Here is a 16,111-nt window from a genome sequence, read left to right on the forward strand (position 1 = left end):
TGGGAGTATACCTTTAGACTTGTCATGGAGAAACACCACCGTACTCTGAATAATCTATTTCATGTTTAAAAAGTCCTTATTATCATCATCTAGTTTTTGGGAGTATACCTTTAGACTTGTCATGGAGAAACACTACCACACTCTGAATAATCTATTTCATGTTTAAAGATCAAAAGCAATGACTACACGGAGTCAACCCTTCCTCATTAAGTGTAATGGAAACATAGTAAAGAAACTTGCTGTTCAAGAATCTTCTGGAAAGTTTTATTACCCGTTTCTTTTTAACTTCTCTGCCTTTAGTTGACATAATTCACAAAATTTCACTGGGGAATTTTCCAAGAACAGAAAGAGAGCCAGATGTGGGCAAAGAAACACAGTGCTCAGATAAACCATGAGCTCGTTAGAAATATCTCATCAGTTCCTTGGTAGTCAGGCTGCAAATTATATTCTAGTTGAGAAAAAAAAAACACATTATGCTTTGCCTTTGATGAGTCCCATTTACTACAAGTTGCAAAACTCTGTTGGAGCAATGTGACTTGAAGGTGGTTCTAGAATCTTACAGAAGAAGATGCCGTACCTGCGAGTTGAGCCCGAGAGACGCCCTCCCCACAGAAGAGGTATTAGTGACAGACTGAGCGGAGGCAGGGTATTTGTAATGGTTAGAGGACAGCTTGTCAGCAGACAGCCTAGAGGCCTTTCTGTCAGCAGGAGAGTAGCGGGCAAAGATGTGCGGAGGCGGCAAGTTATCGTACAGGCCTGCGTTATCATAAAGCACCTCTTCTCCCAAGCCTCTGCTGCAGGAAGCAGGAAAGCCGTCTTCCGGTTCCCACTGCAACACACATAGCTTTGTGGTTAGTGACTTGGACACAGGAAACAGCAGCTTTTAGCACAGTGAGATGTCATTTATTAATAGTACGGCATTTAGCATACATTGGCACCCCAACACTCTCCTGCACACAGACTGCAGTTGTTATCAATAAGGCATGCACCCACCACCCCCCTCCCACACACATACACACACAGACCCAACACAAGCATGCAGGTGGATTCAAAAGGACTTGACTTCTGAAGCCTTATGGAAAAAATTTTTTTTTCCTTAAACCATTCCCAGAACTCTTGGATTATGAAGTTTTTGTTTTGTCCTTTCTTTTAAAGGAAAAAGCAATGTTGATTTGGCATTTCCTTCTTTAGAGAACCTGGGGTTCAGAAGTTCTCCTAGCGCAGGGCGTGGATGGAAGGGGAGGAATGAGCATGGGACCAGGGGCCTGGTGCTCTGGGTCTACATAAAGACACACGAGGTCCTAGCAGAGCACCCGATGCTTTACACAGCACTTCTCACGTCCTGGACGCTGACTTCGTCTCACAGTCATCCGGGGAAAAAGGGGGAAATGGAAGCAGAGACAGGGCCTGGAGCCGGTGAGTGGCAGAGCGGAGGGAAGGGCGCGCTCATCCCCACGCGGTGCTCCCGCTAAGCCTCGCGCTCCTTCTGGGGACATGAGACCACCTGCAGGCTCCTCCAAGCCCCTGTGCAGGAGTCAGTGACCCAAGTCCTATGGGAACTGTCAACACAAACCCCCTCTGTCCCCTGCTCTGTACTGAAGAAAGTGCCACAACCAACACAAGCAAAACCGTCTGTGAAAAGAGAAATCAAATCCTCATAGAAAATTAGATGCTTCCAAATCTAATGGATATAATGGTTTTATTTTAGCAGAAAATCTCTAACAAAGGACTAAAATAGCTACATGCCACTGCATGGGACAGAGGAATCTGAGAACATGGGTATTAAAGTATTAACTCAAAAACTGATAACCACAGCCAGGGCCTTTTCAGGGGTAAAGGTCTTTATAAATCGCCTGGCATGACAAGAAAGGCAGTATTAATTCCTCTCTTATATTCCTTTTACCCCGTTGATAGTCTTCCTGCATAGTCCTTTCTGCCAGACGGTAATTACAACCTTTTGTTATAAAAATAGAGAAGACTTAAAATTCTGCAGTAGGAGTGTCTGTATTCCTCCGCAATCACTTCAATGTGTCTATTTTTGTGATCTAAAAATAACGGCTCCTGCAGATAAACTCGGATATGAGAGTTTCATAATGACAACCTAGCATATATTTGTCCAGAGTTATTAAAACGGTCTAGACGAGACTATCATTTTCCTAAAATACCAAAGATTAAGTCACACGGAAGACTCAGAAAAACACCTACAGAGACCTCACAGAAGTTTCTAGTTTAAAGTATGTGAGTGTGCACACTTTCATCTTAGTCTAAGCATCAGGGGGAACGTTGGGTAAACATTACTAAAGCTGAAACAGTGCCACGATGCCAGATATTAGGTCATAAATATGAACTTTTTTTTTTTGAGATGGAGTCTTGCTCTGTTGCCCAGGCTGCAGTGCAGTGGCACAATCTCAGCTCACTGCAGCCTCCGCCTCCCAGGCTCAAGCAATTCTCCTGCCTCAGCCTCCTGAGTAGCTAGGATTACAGATACCCACCACCATGCCCGGCTAATTTTTGTATTTTTAGTAGAGACAGGGTTTCACCATGTTGGCCAGGCTGGTCTCGAACTCCTGGCCTTAAGTGATCTGCCCACCTCTGCCTTCCAAAGTGCTGGGATTACAGGCCTGAGCCATCGCGCCTGGCTATAAGTATGAACTTTTAAGAATCTAGAAATGAGGCCCTCCAAAAAGAGATGAGCTGGTAACAGAGCCGAACACACAGAAAATAGTTTCAGGAAGGGCCTGGGCAGAGGAAGGCCTAATAAGCAAGGAAGCCACAAACATGTAGCCCAGCAATACACACACACAAACAATTCCTACATGCAGAGCCCTTTAGGAATGGCAGACCTTTGTTTCTACAACAGATGAAGCTGTGAATAGCCTAAAGAACACTTGCTCCTGGGGGTGGCCTGTAGAGTGTCATAAAAGTCTGAATAAAACGGGCTGGGTGGAGCTGGATGATCACGTGTGTGGTTCCACAGGGTGAAGACAGCATCCGGTTCACAGTCACAGGTTCGTGTGTAAGGCGTGCATGTGGAGAAACGCCTTTGAGGAAAAGGCGTGTGAAAGGGTCTTTGGGGGGGACGGGCTAGACACAGGCTCAGAGAAGTGGATGGTTCTCAGGATGCAGATGAGTGTGGTAACTGGAGTCTAAATCCAGTGGTAAGACTGTGCTGTCAAGAGACACTGGGGTGACACAGGGCAAATGGAGGCAGAAGAGCAGGTCCCACCTGAAGAAGGGCTCAGGGGCTGGAATCTAGGGCAGGAACTAGCCTGAGAGCCTGCCACAGGCTGGTATGGTGCCATCTTAAGCAGGAAGAACTCGCACAAGCCCCTACCCAGGGGTGGAGTGCTGTGGTGACTGTGGGCACCCAGAGACACCCCAGGGAGGATTGGCTGAGGGGGAAAGGAGGAGATTCACTGGACCTGATACCCCTCCGCCTAAGATGGGGGGCTCTACTGGATGGACTCTGAAGCTAGGATGGGATCCTAAAGTGGCTCTGTTTGCCCCGTGCCACCCTGTCCTAACATGGGACCTACAAGCGGGCCCTGCCCTGCCCAGGGCCCAGGAAGCTCTCCCCGCTCCTATGTCTGTTTCCCTCCCAGGTCCACTCACCCCCATGAGACTCAAAGGCCCTTTCAGGACAAAGACAATCGCTTCACCATTTCTTCTTCAACTCCTGGCACAGAGTCTGGCCACTGGGAGACACCCAGCCAATAAGGCAAGGGAGAGAGGACTGAGGAGGGAAGGGGGCAGATCAAGTGATGAGAAGATCCCTCTTTAGAATCAGGTGGGGGCCTCGCACAGAAAGGGCGGCCTCCCCCACAGGAACCCCAGGGCAGGTCCAGAGCAGCAGGAAGGAGGAGGCGGCCAATGGGAAGGCAACCGAGCCCCAGGGACACACTGCGTCCATCGTGGCTCCTGAGGGATGGGCCACCCACTTCCGACCCCGGCCACTAGAACCTGCTTTCAGTTTGTTTATGCTCCTGAGCACTGGGGGTCCTCAGCCCCTCTCTTCCCTCAAGGAGGCTGTTGTCTCTTGGTTCCTGCTGTGGGGCAGCTATGAATTTACGATGCCAGGGCTGATTGAGGACATTCATCAGGATATCGGGGAAAAGAATGGAGAATCAAAACAGTAAGAAAAAAGTCTGAAATACCTTCCAAGTCTATTTCATAGCCTTGGAAAACATAACAATAAATTTACTTTATGTCTACCTTTGAAAATTATCTTAACATAGATGCCAATTTCAAACCCTCCCAGTACTGGGAGACAAATGGCATACTGGTTTCTCACAAGCCTCCTTCATTCATCTGCTAACTGTGAAGGCCTCATCTCTGAACGCCCAGGGCCGGGCACCGTGCCTGGATCAGGCAGGATGCTCAATACGCGGTTGTGAGATGAGTAACAGGCAGACACCGTAGAACCAGCACTTGATGAGGCCTGCTGATTACACGTACGACACAGACACAACACACTGAGAACAGACTTCAGGACTCCTAAGGCCAGACAGACCCCCGAGGCCAGCGTAACAGGGAAAGCTGTTACTAAACACCTCCTGCATGGATAGATGGATAGATGGATATACAGATAGCGCTGTGCCAGGAGCCAGGAGCCTGGCTCCTCCAAATCCACCCCAAGGTAAGCTGTCGAATTTGTAATGTGGTCATTCCTCTATGTCATCATTTCCTTCCTGAGGGGATTTCACAGCATTTTAATCCCATCGGGAAATAACTACTCATTGATAACCTATACTGTGCTATGTTTTGATTTAACAAGTTATCCAAGTATTACTCTAACATGTTCTCCTTTAGTCAATATTTTAGTGGGCTGACACATTTAATTAGTGACAGCGACATTAGGCCAGGCACAGTGGCTCACATCTGTAATCCCAACACTTTGAAAGTCTGAGGTGGGAGGATCACTTGAGCCCAGGAGTTCAAGACTGGCCTTGCCAATATAGGGAGATCCCATCTCTACTAAAAATAAAACAAATGAGTGGGATGTGGTGGTGTGCACCTACGGTCCCAGCTACTTGGGAGGCTGAGGTGGGAGGATCGACTGAGCTGGGGAGGTTGAGCTATAGTGAGTTGTGACTGCACCACTGCACTCCAGCCTGGGCAACAGATTGGGACCCTACCTCAACACCAACAGAAAAATGACAGTGACATTAAATGACAAACTGTCTACTAGCCTCAAACTATCCACTTGTTCAAATGCAGATTCAGATAAACAGCATGTCAGAAACCAGGAGAACAGAGATGAGATGGAGTCTCCTTGCCTCAGAGCATTAAAAAGCTGACCTTATTCAGACCTGAAACCAGGGGAACTGAAGCACAGAATTTTCACAGCCTCGGCCTCTAACAAAACCAACCATTACTCCAAAAAAAGGGCACTCACCGAGCCGTTGATGCACGGGACATCGTCATAATGAAGTGCCGTCCCGCTGGGGTGGGCATAGCCGTTGGAGGTGCCCCCTAGATATGGGTTAGCAGATATAACACGCCTGTTCATGAAACTGAAAGAAAGGAAATGCGTTAAAATCCATAACCTGACCACCTTTTACTCCAATCAGTCAAGTCTTTAATGAGTTCTGACTTTATGCCCAAGGCTATGTCAGAGGTCACAGGGGCAGAGAAGAAATACTAGACAGAATCTCGGCAGAAATGAGATGATGCGCTGGAGGGACTGTCCTATAAAATTAGGATGGCACATAATCTGCAGAACTGCGGCACAGATCGCCAGTAACCAACACCAGGTACACGCAGCAAAGCCTGCAAATAACAGGTGTTCAGAAATACCAAGCGTTTTGATTATCATCCGTCTCTCACTGTGGCCCCAACGCTAGGTACACGCAGCAAAGTCTGCAAATAACAGGTGTTCAGAAATACCAAGCGTTTTGATTATCATCCGTCTTTCACAGTGGCCAACTCCTCTCACAGCTTGTGTTCATAATAAAGTTTTATTGGAACACATGCCTCTTTCACAAGTGTGTTACTTCCAGAAGGACAACATGGCCTGCAAAGCTGAAAGTTACTGTCTGGTCTCTTTTGGAAAAAGTTCGTGGACCCCTGTTCTATAAGCTTTCTGGAACACTCATTCAACAAATATTTATGGAGTTCTTAGTAGTCAATCAGCACCACTGCCACCCCACATCTCTTCACCTCTTCCCTGAAATTTCCTCAACTTCTGAGAGCCGCTGACAGCGGCCCGAGAAATCCTTTAGAAGGTGTGCTACTGTGGCGTAATAAATATGTATTTTGGTCTTTGTCCCAAGTTCCTGGTCAGGGCTCCTAAAACTCTTGGAATTTCATACATGAAGAGTAGGATGAGAGCTGGTTGCCAGGGAAACCAACCCTGTGATTACGGCTGGAACTTTCCATAAAAACCCAAGAGGATGGGGTTCCCGGAGCTTCTGGACTGTGTGTATGCGGCGGTGCCGGGAGCGTGGTGCGCCCAGCGAGGGCACGGGAGCGCTGTGCCCCACATGCTTTGCCCGGCGCACCTCTTCCCTCACTGCTTCTGAACTGTGTCCTTTCATAGTAAACTGGTAATCCAGTAAGCAAGCTCTTCCTGAGTTCTGTGAGCGTTCTAGCAATGACTGAACTGGAGGGGAGGGGTCGTGGGAACCTCCAACTCACAACCTATTGGTTAGACGCACAGGTGATATCCTGGACCTGTGACTGGCATCTGAAGTGGAGTCAGCTTTGTGGACTGGGCCCTTAACCTGGGGAGCCTGACGCTGCCTCCCGGAAGACCACTGAGGGTTGAGTTCATGTATTAGGACACCCAGCTGGTGCCCACAGAAACCTAGAGAATTGCTGGGCATGGGAAAGACCTGCCCGTTTAGTGGCCAGAGGTGAGGCCCAACAGTGTGGAGCCTGTGGTGAGGGAACGGCTCACTCCCCTTCAAGGAGGGCAGGCCGGGCCACGCCAGCCTCCGCCCAACACCCCCAGGGGCTTCTGAAGTCGCAAGGTGCTGCCCAGGGCCTCGGGGCTCCGAGGGACTGGGTTTCTGCTCCGTCCCTGCGCTGTGGCTTCCTGCGCTCGGTCAGTCTCCTGGGTGCCCCGGCACTCCCCTGGCTCTCGCGGCTCCCCCAGCCACTCTGCCTGCCGAACTCCTCTCCTGACACCCCTCGCACCCAGGTCTCCGCGTGGGTGCTGCCCCCCAGGAGGCGGCCCGTCCCGCAGCCCCACAGCGGCCCCTCCCTCCCCTCCGGGCCCAGGGCAACCGCCCTGCATCTGCGTCCTGCCTGCTCTCCCCACTGGAGGGTCGGCCTCAGGAGCGCAGGGACCATGCGGGCACACACAGGGGTCCTCACGCAGGGGCAGGTGCCTAGAGCCTCGGCCGGGTTCCGAAGCCACGGGTCAGGACTAATAATGTAAATCCCAGGGAAGGGACCACCCTGACAGCATTTCCTGCTAGTGTGGGTATTTCATAGGATCCTGCGCTTCTGTGATCACCAGATGAAGAAAACACAGCGTAAGTGAAAACCGGGGAGAGAAACACAGGGGCAAGTGAAGCCCGCCTCTTTGGTAAGAAGTCTGGCAGCGTAGCCTCGGGAGGTACCGGGCTTGGGGCTCCGGGCTGGGCTTCAGCAGTGCGGGCCGCGGAAATGGCTCCTCACAGAGCGCGTGTGCGCCCCATGCTGGGGAGGGACGCCATGCACGGCTTGCTGCCTGGACACATTCTTCAATTATAATTTATAAACTTTTTCCTTTGCTTATAAAAAATTAATATATGCTAAACTTAAAGTACATAAAAGTATACGTAGGAAAATAAAATGAAGAAGAAAACATACAAGAAGGAAAGGCACAGCAAAACTTGAACATTTAAGAGTTCCACAGTAAAAGATTTTGATTTTTAAAAAATACATATTTAAGGTTTTCTAATTAAATGCCTCATTGGAAGGCTTTTAGGGAGACAGCGCTATGTATACTTTCTGTCAGCGAGAGGCAGTAAATGGAGGAATGAATAAAGCCTGGCCACAGGGACCATCCCCTCCCCTGTGCCCTGGGCCGTACTGCCTTGGGTCTTTCTCCTTCCAGCGGCAGGCACGTCTCTCACGGGCTTGCATCTTCAGTTTCCAGCATATGCCCTGCACTCACCCTGCTGCAGCAGGGACAAAGGATGGGGTCAGAACAGAGGCCCTGGGGGGCTCCACTCCTGCTTCTGTGCTGGGAAGAGCCACTGCAGGATGCCTCTGACAGGCTCATCTGGCAGGACCTGGGAGCACAGGGATTAGGGGTCACAGGCACACAGAATGTCCTAAGTGGAGGAGGCCTCAGCCAGCAGCTAGTCACCCTTCACCCTACAGAGAGGGACCTGGCCCAGTGAGGACAACTCTGCCCAGTCCCCAAGAGGGCAGGGCCTGAGGTCGCAACTAAACACGAGGCCTCGGTCTTGTGCTTGGTGTCTTTCCACAATAGGATTTGCAGCCAAAGACAGAAGTGGAAATGAAGTAAGAGGCCACATGCCACTTGTTACACCAAAACCAGGAGAGAGTCAAGTGGAGCTATTTCACAATAACCTCCCGGGACTCCGAGGAAAGGGTGGCCAAGAGAACTGCCTCCCATCTGTGAATCTCTCCATGCTCCGCACCAGCCCCGGCTTTCCATCCTCTTCATCCTCACCACCCCATCCGTGCATCTCCCCACGCTCCGCACCAGCCCCTGCTTTCCATCCTCTTCATCCTCACCACCCCATCCGTGCATCTCCCCATGCTCCGCACAAGCCCCTGCTTTCCATCCTTTTCATCATCACCATCCCATCCGTGCATCTCCCCACGCTCCGCACCAGCCGCTGCTTTCCATCCTCTTCATCCTCACCATCCCATCCGTGCATCTCCCCACACTCTGCACCAGCCCGCTTTCCATCCTCTTTATCCTCACCACCCCATCCATGCATCTCCCCACGCTCTGCACCAGCCCCTGCTTTCCATCCTCTTCATCCTCACCACCCCATCCGTGCATCTCCCCATGCTCCGCACCAGCCCCTGCTTTCCGTTCTCTTCATCCTCCCAACTGCTTCCTGAGGGGCTCCCAGCTGAGTGTGACTTGAAGAGAGTTTCAGGAAAACTCTGGAGTATTTTCCTGTGTTGTATAATTTATGTATCTCATTGTAAATAGGTTTTCAGGAAAATATGTTTCGATTGTTTACCATTATTAAAGTTCCTAAGTATCCCACTTTTCCTGGGAGAATCTCCATTATTATCTTACACTTTCCTCTTTTCAAAATATATTACTGCCGTCTCTTCCTCAGTCATGTACAATGCACAAAGAATTCTCCTAAGAACCTTGAAAAGATTCATTAACTGGCTGCCAGTTTATATAAAAGCAAAACATTTAATCTTAGAATATTCATCACACTGGCAAGCAACCATATTTTGAACACTGTTTCCTTGTCACATCTCATCTCTCTTAAGTGTTACAGGAGTGTTTGGCTAGAAAACTTGAAAATAAGCTTTATTGCTAACTGACAGCTCCTATAAAGACTTTAACGAGGTAGAAAAGATTCCTGCAGCCATAAATTCATTACATGCATATTTTTAATAAATATTTTTAGTGTTATAATCTACATTCCTTTCTCAAAAATGTGACCTTGCCACATTTGATTTAGATTAATACTCTAGTCATTTATAAAGTAAAAGCCAAGCTGTATTCTAGGGCAACGATTTTAATTCAGGGTTTCTCTTAAATGTGGTTATCGGCGTGCTGATTATACTTGCAATTACATGTGGACGTAGGATAGGTTTTTATGGAAATTTAGTATCTTCCAAATAAATATAGTGAACAACCATAACCACTTTTATGTCTGCTAGTTGGGCAGATTTTGCAAAAATAGACTTACGGATCTTATATCTCTTTAAAAACACTTTAAATGTGCTTTCTTTACTGCATAGTACTTAAAGAATTGGAGAATCATTATAATTTACCTATATTTTGCTGATTAGAAAGAATATAATTAAACAATAATTAGTATAAACAGAACGGTAAGTACTAGACTACATCTATCCTGATTTCCACACAAAAGGACAGTGGTGAGAACAGTGTGCACTGTAGAAAACCTCCAGTATTACTGGGGATTTTATGGACAATCTGTGCAAGACTAGTTCCACTTGTCAAGGCTATTGACCTTAGCTGGGTGTATGTAACATGTGGCTTGAGTCCTAAAATGGGCCAAGTTATCTTCACTTTGAGAACTATTTCTTAGCCCCAGAATGTCCTAGCTAAGCATTAAATGAGTATCCATTCACCATTCAAGACACAAAGGAAGACTGCTCCAATTCCCCATAAATAGCACTTGTGTGGAAAAACTAGATGGTGGAGTTCATATTAAACGGGCACAACACAACAGCACAGGCATCTGAGCCCATCTTCTTCACACTTGAAAGGTCGTGTAATCTCAGCACTGGCAGGTCTGCCAGCAGCTGTCTGTATGTTTCTCCTCACTTGCTGATGATGGAATTCATGACCAGCTTTGTTTTCATTCACTTCCCTCACCCCAGTCCCAACTCTCTAAGGATGAGAGAAACATATGCAGCAGTCAAGGGGTGAAAGATGCTGGAGCTGCAAGTTTCAGAGATTATCTCACCCACCATCTCTATTTTCTACAGAAGGCAGCAGAGGTACTAACAGGTAATGAATGACTTGTCCAAATTGTTCTAATTAGTAAATACCACAGCAGGACCCAAGCCAAGATGCCCTACCTAATACCTGCTGGATTTGAAATTAAAACCTGAGAAATGCATTCATTGTTATTCACTTAAAAGTAGCATCGCGGGTCATGCCTGGAATCCTAGCACTTTGGGAGGCCAAGACAGGAAGATCACTTGAACCCAGGAGTCCAGGAGTTTGAGACCAGCCTGGGCAACATAATAAGACCCCGTCTCTACCAAAAAAAAAAAAAATTAGCCAGGCATGGTGGCACATGCCTGTAGTCCCATTTGCTTAGGAGGCTGAGATGGGAGGATCCCTTGAGCCCAGGAGGTTGAGGCTGCAATGAGTCATAATTGTGCCACTGCACTCCAGCCTGGGCAACCCTTAATCAAAAAAAAACAAAAACAAAAAACAACAACAACAAAACCCTAATAACAAACCAAAACGTGGCAGAGTGTTCACGTCTGTAAACCCAGTTAATGTCCAGCAACGCCAATAACGAACCAGAAAGTGGCAGAGTGTTCACATGTTTGTAAACCCAGTTAATGTCCAGCTTAATAGAAGGTGGCTGGATTCTCACACCTGCTTCTGCCCTCTGTCACAAAATGCTCTTTTGGTTGAAGTATGTGAAGAAAATCCAGCCTCAAACACATGTAAGCCGGACAAGTGGGGCACATTTTAATTGCTTTTTCTGAGCTGTAGTGACACTTCTTCGGGACTACACCAAAACGCAGCAAGTGGTGGTCTCTTACCGCCAACTGCCATGGAGTCGGAAAGCAGATCAATCGACTCACATTAAAATCCAGTCGTTTATCTTGCACTAGGAATAGATCTTTCCCCAAGCATGACTTCTGCCGATCTTTCAAATGTTGACCCCTTCATTATACAACATCAAAAAAAACTGCTCACTGACATGACTACAGATCTCAGCAGGAGTCTATGGGTGCTGAGTAGCCGGCAAGCTCACCACGGCAGATGCAAATTTTCCAGAATTCTAATTTCTAAGGAAAGCTTAAATGTATCATAAGCAACAAATACTGCCAACTGTTTGCCTAGAGATGATGGGTGTAGCTAGCTCATTTTCAAGAAAACATCTGCAAATGCCTATGTGCAAATAACTAGTTTGTCTGTTGCTTTTTAAAGTAAAAATAAAAAAAAATCAAGGCAGCTAGTTCTATGAGCACCTCACTTGTCTGAGCTGTTCCTCAACAGGACCACTGTCATTGGACACACCTGCATGCTCTCTGTGGCCTCTCATCACGCTACGCAGAACAGGAAAAACCCACGGGCTTCAGAGCCTTCATGCAAATGTCTACTATCTGATCCTTTATAGAAAAAGTCATCATTTTTACTGCTTCCTCAAGGACATCTTAAGTGAAACCAGCATTTTCTTTTACTATCGCAAATGGTAAAATTCTTTGACTATTTACATTGGCAGTGACAATGATTATTCATACGGCGAAGGGCGACTATTGGTGCGAAGCTGCCAGCCAGTGATCACTAATGCAAATGTCCCAACAGTGGAAAAAGGAAACAATGTCTTAGTATATTATGAAAATAATTTAACCCCGCAGACTGCCAGAAAGGGTCTGGAAAATCTCCAGGGGTTCTGTGGACCATACCAAGAACTGCTGCTACAAATATTCTGCCATCATTATGTTAAAGAAATATTCACTGTTCAAAAGGACGTTTTTATAGATGACTGCAGCATTTTTTTTTTTAAAAAAATCACAATTTAAATTTACAAAGTACTTGACGGATAGCTTTGAAAACTCAGTCCTCATTACAGCAATATGTAGAATCATTTCTGCTTCGTAGAACTGTTCCCCTAATACAGGGGTCAGCAAACTATTGGCCAAATCCAGGCCACGGCCTGTTTTTGCAAATAAAGTTTTATTAGAACACAGACACACCCATTCGTTTATGTACGGTGTCCAGCTGCAGCGGGAGCTGAGTGGTTATTAACAGGAAACGTGTGGCCCACAAAACCAAAAATATTTACTATCTAAGTCCTTCATGCAAGTTTGCCACACGCTGCTCGAATAGAAAACCCAGTGGGCTGACACGACAAAAACATTTCTGCAAAATTTGGCTTAAGATAATGCAAAAGGGAAAGTCTTTAGTTTTTCTTCTGGGTCTATATCCTCACACAAAAACTAAGTTAAGCTAAGTTAGGGAAAAGACAGTTACTGAACTGTGGTGCCATTTCACATGGCAGTGGGTCTTACCAGAAGGTCTGTTTGGCTGTCTGAATGACACTTGCAGACATCTCCACATCAATGTAGTCATAGTGCAGAGCCTCCGGGTCTGTGGACGATCCCGTCTCTGCGAGTAAAATCCCAATCCACCTGCCCATGTCTTCAGAAGAAGATGCCTGTTGAAGTGGGAAAAAAGGTAGGCTGTATTTAACTAAAGATTTTTACATTTTCATAAATGTGTCAATAAAGAGACCACATAATAGGAAAGGCGATGAAACATGATGTCCCTAAGAAGAAACGAAAAGGAAGATGGCTGAGCGATGGGATTAACGTCACGTTCGCAGCAGGCCTTAATTTAGGAAGTGTCATCCCGATTACACCAAAGGTGAATGAAACTCTGAGGTCCTAAACTGCCTTCCCATTACTGTGGGGAAAGGCACTAGGGTGTAAGACAGGAAAATTAACAGGATTAATTGCATCCCGGCTGAAGGAAGTTGCTGGGGTGCCTTTGGCAACACCACCTGACCATGAGAAGGGGCACGTCCCAGCTGCTGCTGCCTGACTTGGGAAGCGTGACCAAGCTCCAGGCCCTTTACTGGTCGCAAACTTTTTTATACCAGGAGCCCTGGGTGAGCCCCCCTACATGGGCCTGAAATGGTCATTTAGTTTCTTGATTAGATGATATAAAAAAGTAATTTCCTTTGATATCAATTGTGTTTCCACAGGGGAAATGACACTCTGTAATCACTGGGCTGCTTTAGGCACACCATTTTTTAAGATGTTTGCTATCTCCTCCATTTGGTCTGCTTAATTTGCAAGTCTGAAATATGTCTTTAAGATTATGTTCGTTCAATTTTTAAGCCATCCTTTTATTTATTTATTTTTTTTTGAGACAGGGTCTCGCTCTGTTACCCAGGCTGGAGTGCAGTGGTGTGATCATAGCTCACTGCAGCCTCCAACTCCTAGGCTCAAGCAATCCTCCTGCCTCAGCCTCCCAAGCAGCTGGGACTACAGGTGCTCACCACCAAGTCCAGCTAATTTTTTTATTTTTTATTTGTAGAGACAGGGTCTCACCATCTTGCCCAGGCTGGTCTTGAACTCCCAGGCTCAAGCGATTCTCCTACCTCACCCTCCCAAAGTGCTAGGATTACAGTTGTGAGCCACCATGCCCAGCTTTAAGCCATTGTTTTAAAGTGATTTAGAAAATCAGTTACATTTTTAGTGGTATTTGAAATCTTTAAAAATTTTGATTAATCAAATATGCAAATAATGGTTAAAGTTTAGGAGAAATTAAGCTATCAAATCTATGAGTTAACTGAATGTTGAAGAAAAAAATTTATTGCTTATAAAAATTACTAATTTAAATAAAGATCTCTAAGTTGAGCTTAAAGAAAATTGGGTTTTATAATTATAACCTTGACAAGTTTAACACTGATCATAATATAAGTAATTGTAAATATTCCATGCAATGTATAAAGGCCTCTCTAAAGGAAGGGATGTTAACAAACAAGCAGCTACTTTTTATGTTGAGAAATTGGCTAGTGATATTTTCCATATAACAAATCATTACTAACCATATACACAATGAGGCCATGAGGACAAAGGGAAGGAGTGCCCATTAAGTACCTTACAGAGAGTAAAAGAGAATCAGTGTTTGCCAAATTAAAATGAACTGATTTGAATACCTGGATTAAAACAAAAAAAACCACAAATGTGTTCTCTTCACAGGTCTTATGTCCTTCCTAAAACAAAATCTTTTTTTTTTTTTTTTTTTTTTTTTTTTTTTTTTTTTTGAGACAGAGTCTTGCTCTGTCACTCAGACTGGAGTGCAGTGGTGTGATCTCGGCTCACTGCAAGCTCTGCCTCCCGGATCACGCCAGTCTCCTGCCTCAGCCTCCCGAGTAGCTGGGACTACAGGTGCCCACCACCACGCCCGGATAATTTTTTGTATTTTTAGTAGAGATGGGGTTTTCACTGTGTTAGCCAGGATGGTCTCGATCTCCTGACCTTGTGATCTGCCCACCTCGGCCTCCCAAAGTGCTGGGATTACAGCACCCGGCAAACAAAATCTATATTGAGAATGTATCCATGATTAATCTATACCTATGTCACTATAACCATTTCATCAAAGCATTTTAAAAATGTTTTAATACAATTAATATCTAAGATGTAATTGATATTATTACTTTAGAGTTTACCAATTGTTTTCTTCACAGTTCATTGTATGAAATGTCCTCAGAGGCTTTTAAAAAATAATACTGTGGTGTTGGAGGTATTAGTTCTCACAGCTTTTAATACATAGATAGGTATAGACATAGAGACGTGTGTGGGTGCATATATGTATGTATGCATGTACGTGTATATATACACTTGTAAGTATCTGTCATATGTATAACATATAAACGTGTGAATGTGTGTGTATGTATCCACATCCACACATCTGTTTCTAGCGTTTGTCTACTGAAAAGACCCAGGAGCTCTGGCCCGCCGGCAGAAGTGAGCACATCTGGCCCCCAGATCCTGGCTTCTCAACTCTCCGCCATTCTCCACTAAAAGGAATCACATGCTTTTGGGGAACGGCTGACTCCAGGTCTGGAGCAGGGAAAAGTACAGGATGAGCCTGGGGCATCTCCTTGTGCCACAAAGTAAGGAAAGTGCTCCAAGCATGATGGACTATATAATCTCTTTATTACAGGGACATGGCAAAGGACAAACAGCCAGCTCCGAGGGCCTCCTGCTGACCAAATCTGTGATAGTTTGACCAAAATAAGTCACGACAGTAAAGGATATAATCACTGATTAAAAATCTATAGGCTGGGCCAGGCGCAGTGGCTCACGCCTGTAATCCCAGCACTTTGGGAGGCCGAGGCGGGCGGATCATGAGGTCAGGAGATCGAGACCATCCTGGCTAACACGGTGAAACCCTGTCTCTACTAAAAAATAAAAAAAAATTAGCCAGGCATGGTGGCGGGCACCTGTAATCCCAGCTACTCAGGAGGCTGAAGCAGGAGAATGGCGTGAACCCGGGAGACGGAGCTTGCAGTGAGCTGAGATCACACCACTGCACTCCAGCCTGGGCAACAGAGTGAGACTTGTCTCAAAAAAAAAAAAACAAAAAAAAACTATGGGTTGGGCACGGTGGCTCATGCCTGTAATCTCAGCACTTTGGGAGACCAAGGCGGGCAGTTCACTTGAAGTCAGGAGTTTGAGACCAGCCTGGCTAACATGGTGAAACCCCGTCTCTACTAAAAAGTAAAAA

General features: G+C 46.2%; 1 protein-coding gene across 9 annotated transcripts in view, besides 3 other annotated features; it reads right to left on the reverse strand.

Annotated features, from left to right (window-relative positions):
* AFAP1 (actin filament associated protein 1) overlaps window positions 1-16,111 on the reverse strand; it is a 181,149-nt gene that overhangs the window by 22,086 nt on the left and 142,952 nt on the right. For 5 of the 9 annotated variants that reach the window (NM_001371091.1, XM_006713909.4, XM_047416061.1 and 2 more), the window contains 2 exons: window positions 12,883-13,028; window positions 5,396-5,513 (listed from right to left, as the gene is read on the reverse strand). In NM_001371091.1, the coding sequence (NP_001358020.1) occupies window positions 5,396-5,513; window positions 12,883-13,028 (264 nt within the window). Of the gene's footprint in view, window positions 1-577; window positions 830-5,395; window positions 5,514-12,882; window positions 13,029-16,111 lie in introns of all 9 variants that reach the window. The other 4 variants (XM_011513544.4, NM_001134647.2, XM_017008535.2 and 1 more) reach the window with 3 other exon arrangements.
* Window positions 1,902-2,062: an enhancer, noted in NCBI's record as "heart enhancer 19". NCBI's record gives its function as "activates a minimal c-fos promoter by transgenic reporter assays in zebrafish embryonic heart {active_cell/tissue: heart(embryonic)}" and the evidence as "EXISTENCE:transgenic organism evidence [ECO:0001131][PMID:20075146]".
* Window positions 11,808-11,877: an enhancer, noted in NCBI's record as "active region_21278". NCBI's record gives its function as "activates an Ori minimal core promoter by ATAC-STARR-seq in GM12878 lymphoblastoid cells {active_cell/tissue: GM12878}" and the evidence as "EXISTENCE:reporter gene assay evidence [ECO:0000049][PMID:35858748]".
* Window positions 11,988-12,067: an enhancer, noted in NCBI's record as "active region_21279". NCBI's record gives its function as "activates an Ori minimal core promoter by ATAC-STARR-seq in GM12878 lymphoblastoid cells {active_cell/tissue: GM12878}" and the evidence as "EXISTENCE:reporter gene assay evidence [ECO:0000049][PMID:35858748]".

The sequence above is a fragment of the Homo sapiens genome, chromosome 4, assembly GCF_000001405.40.
Source record: "Homo sapiens chromosome 4, GRCh38.p14 Primary Assembly".
In the NCBI taxonomy this organism is placed as follows: domain Eukaryota; kingdom Metazoa; phylum Chordata; class Mammalia; order Primates; family Hominidae; genus Homo; species Homo sapiens.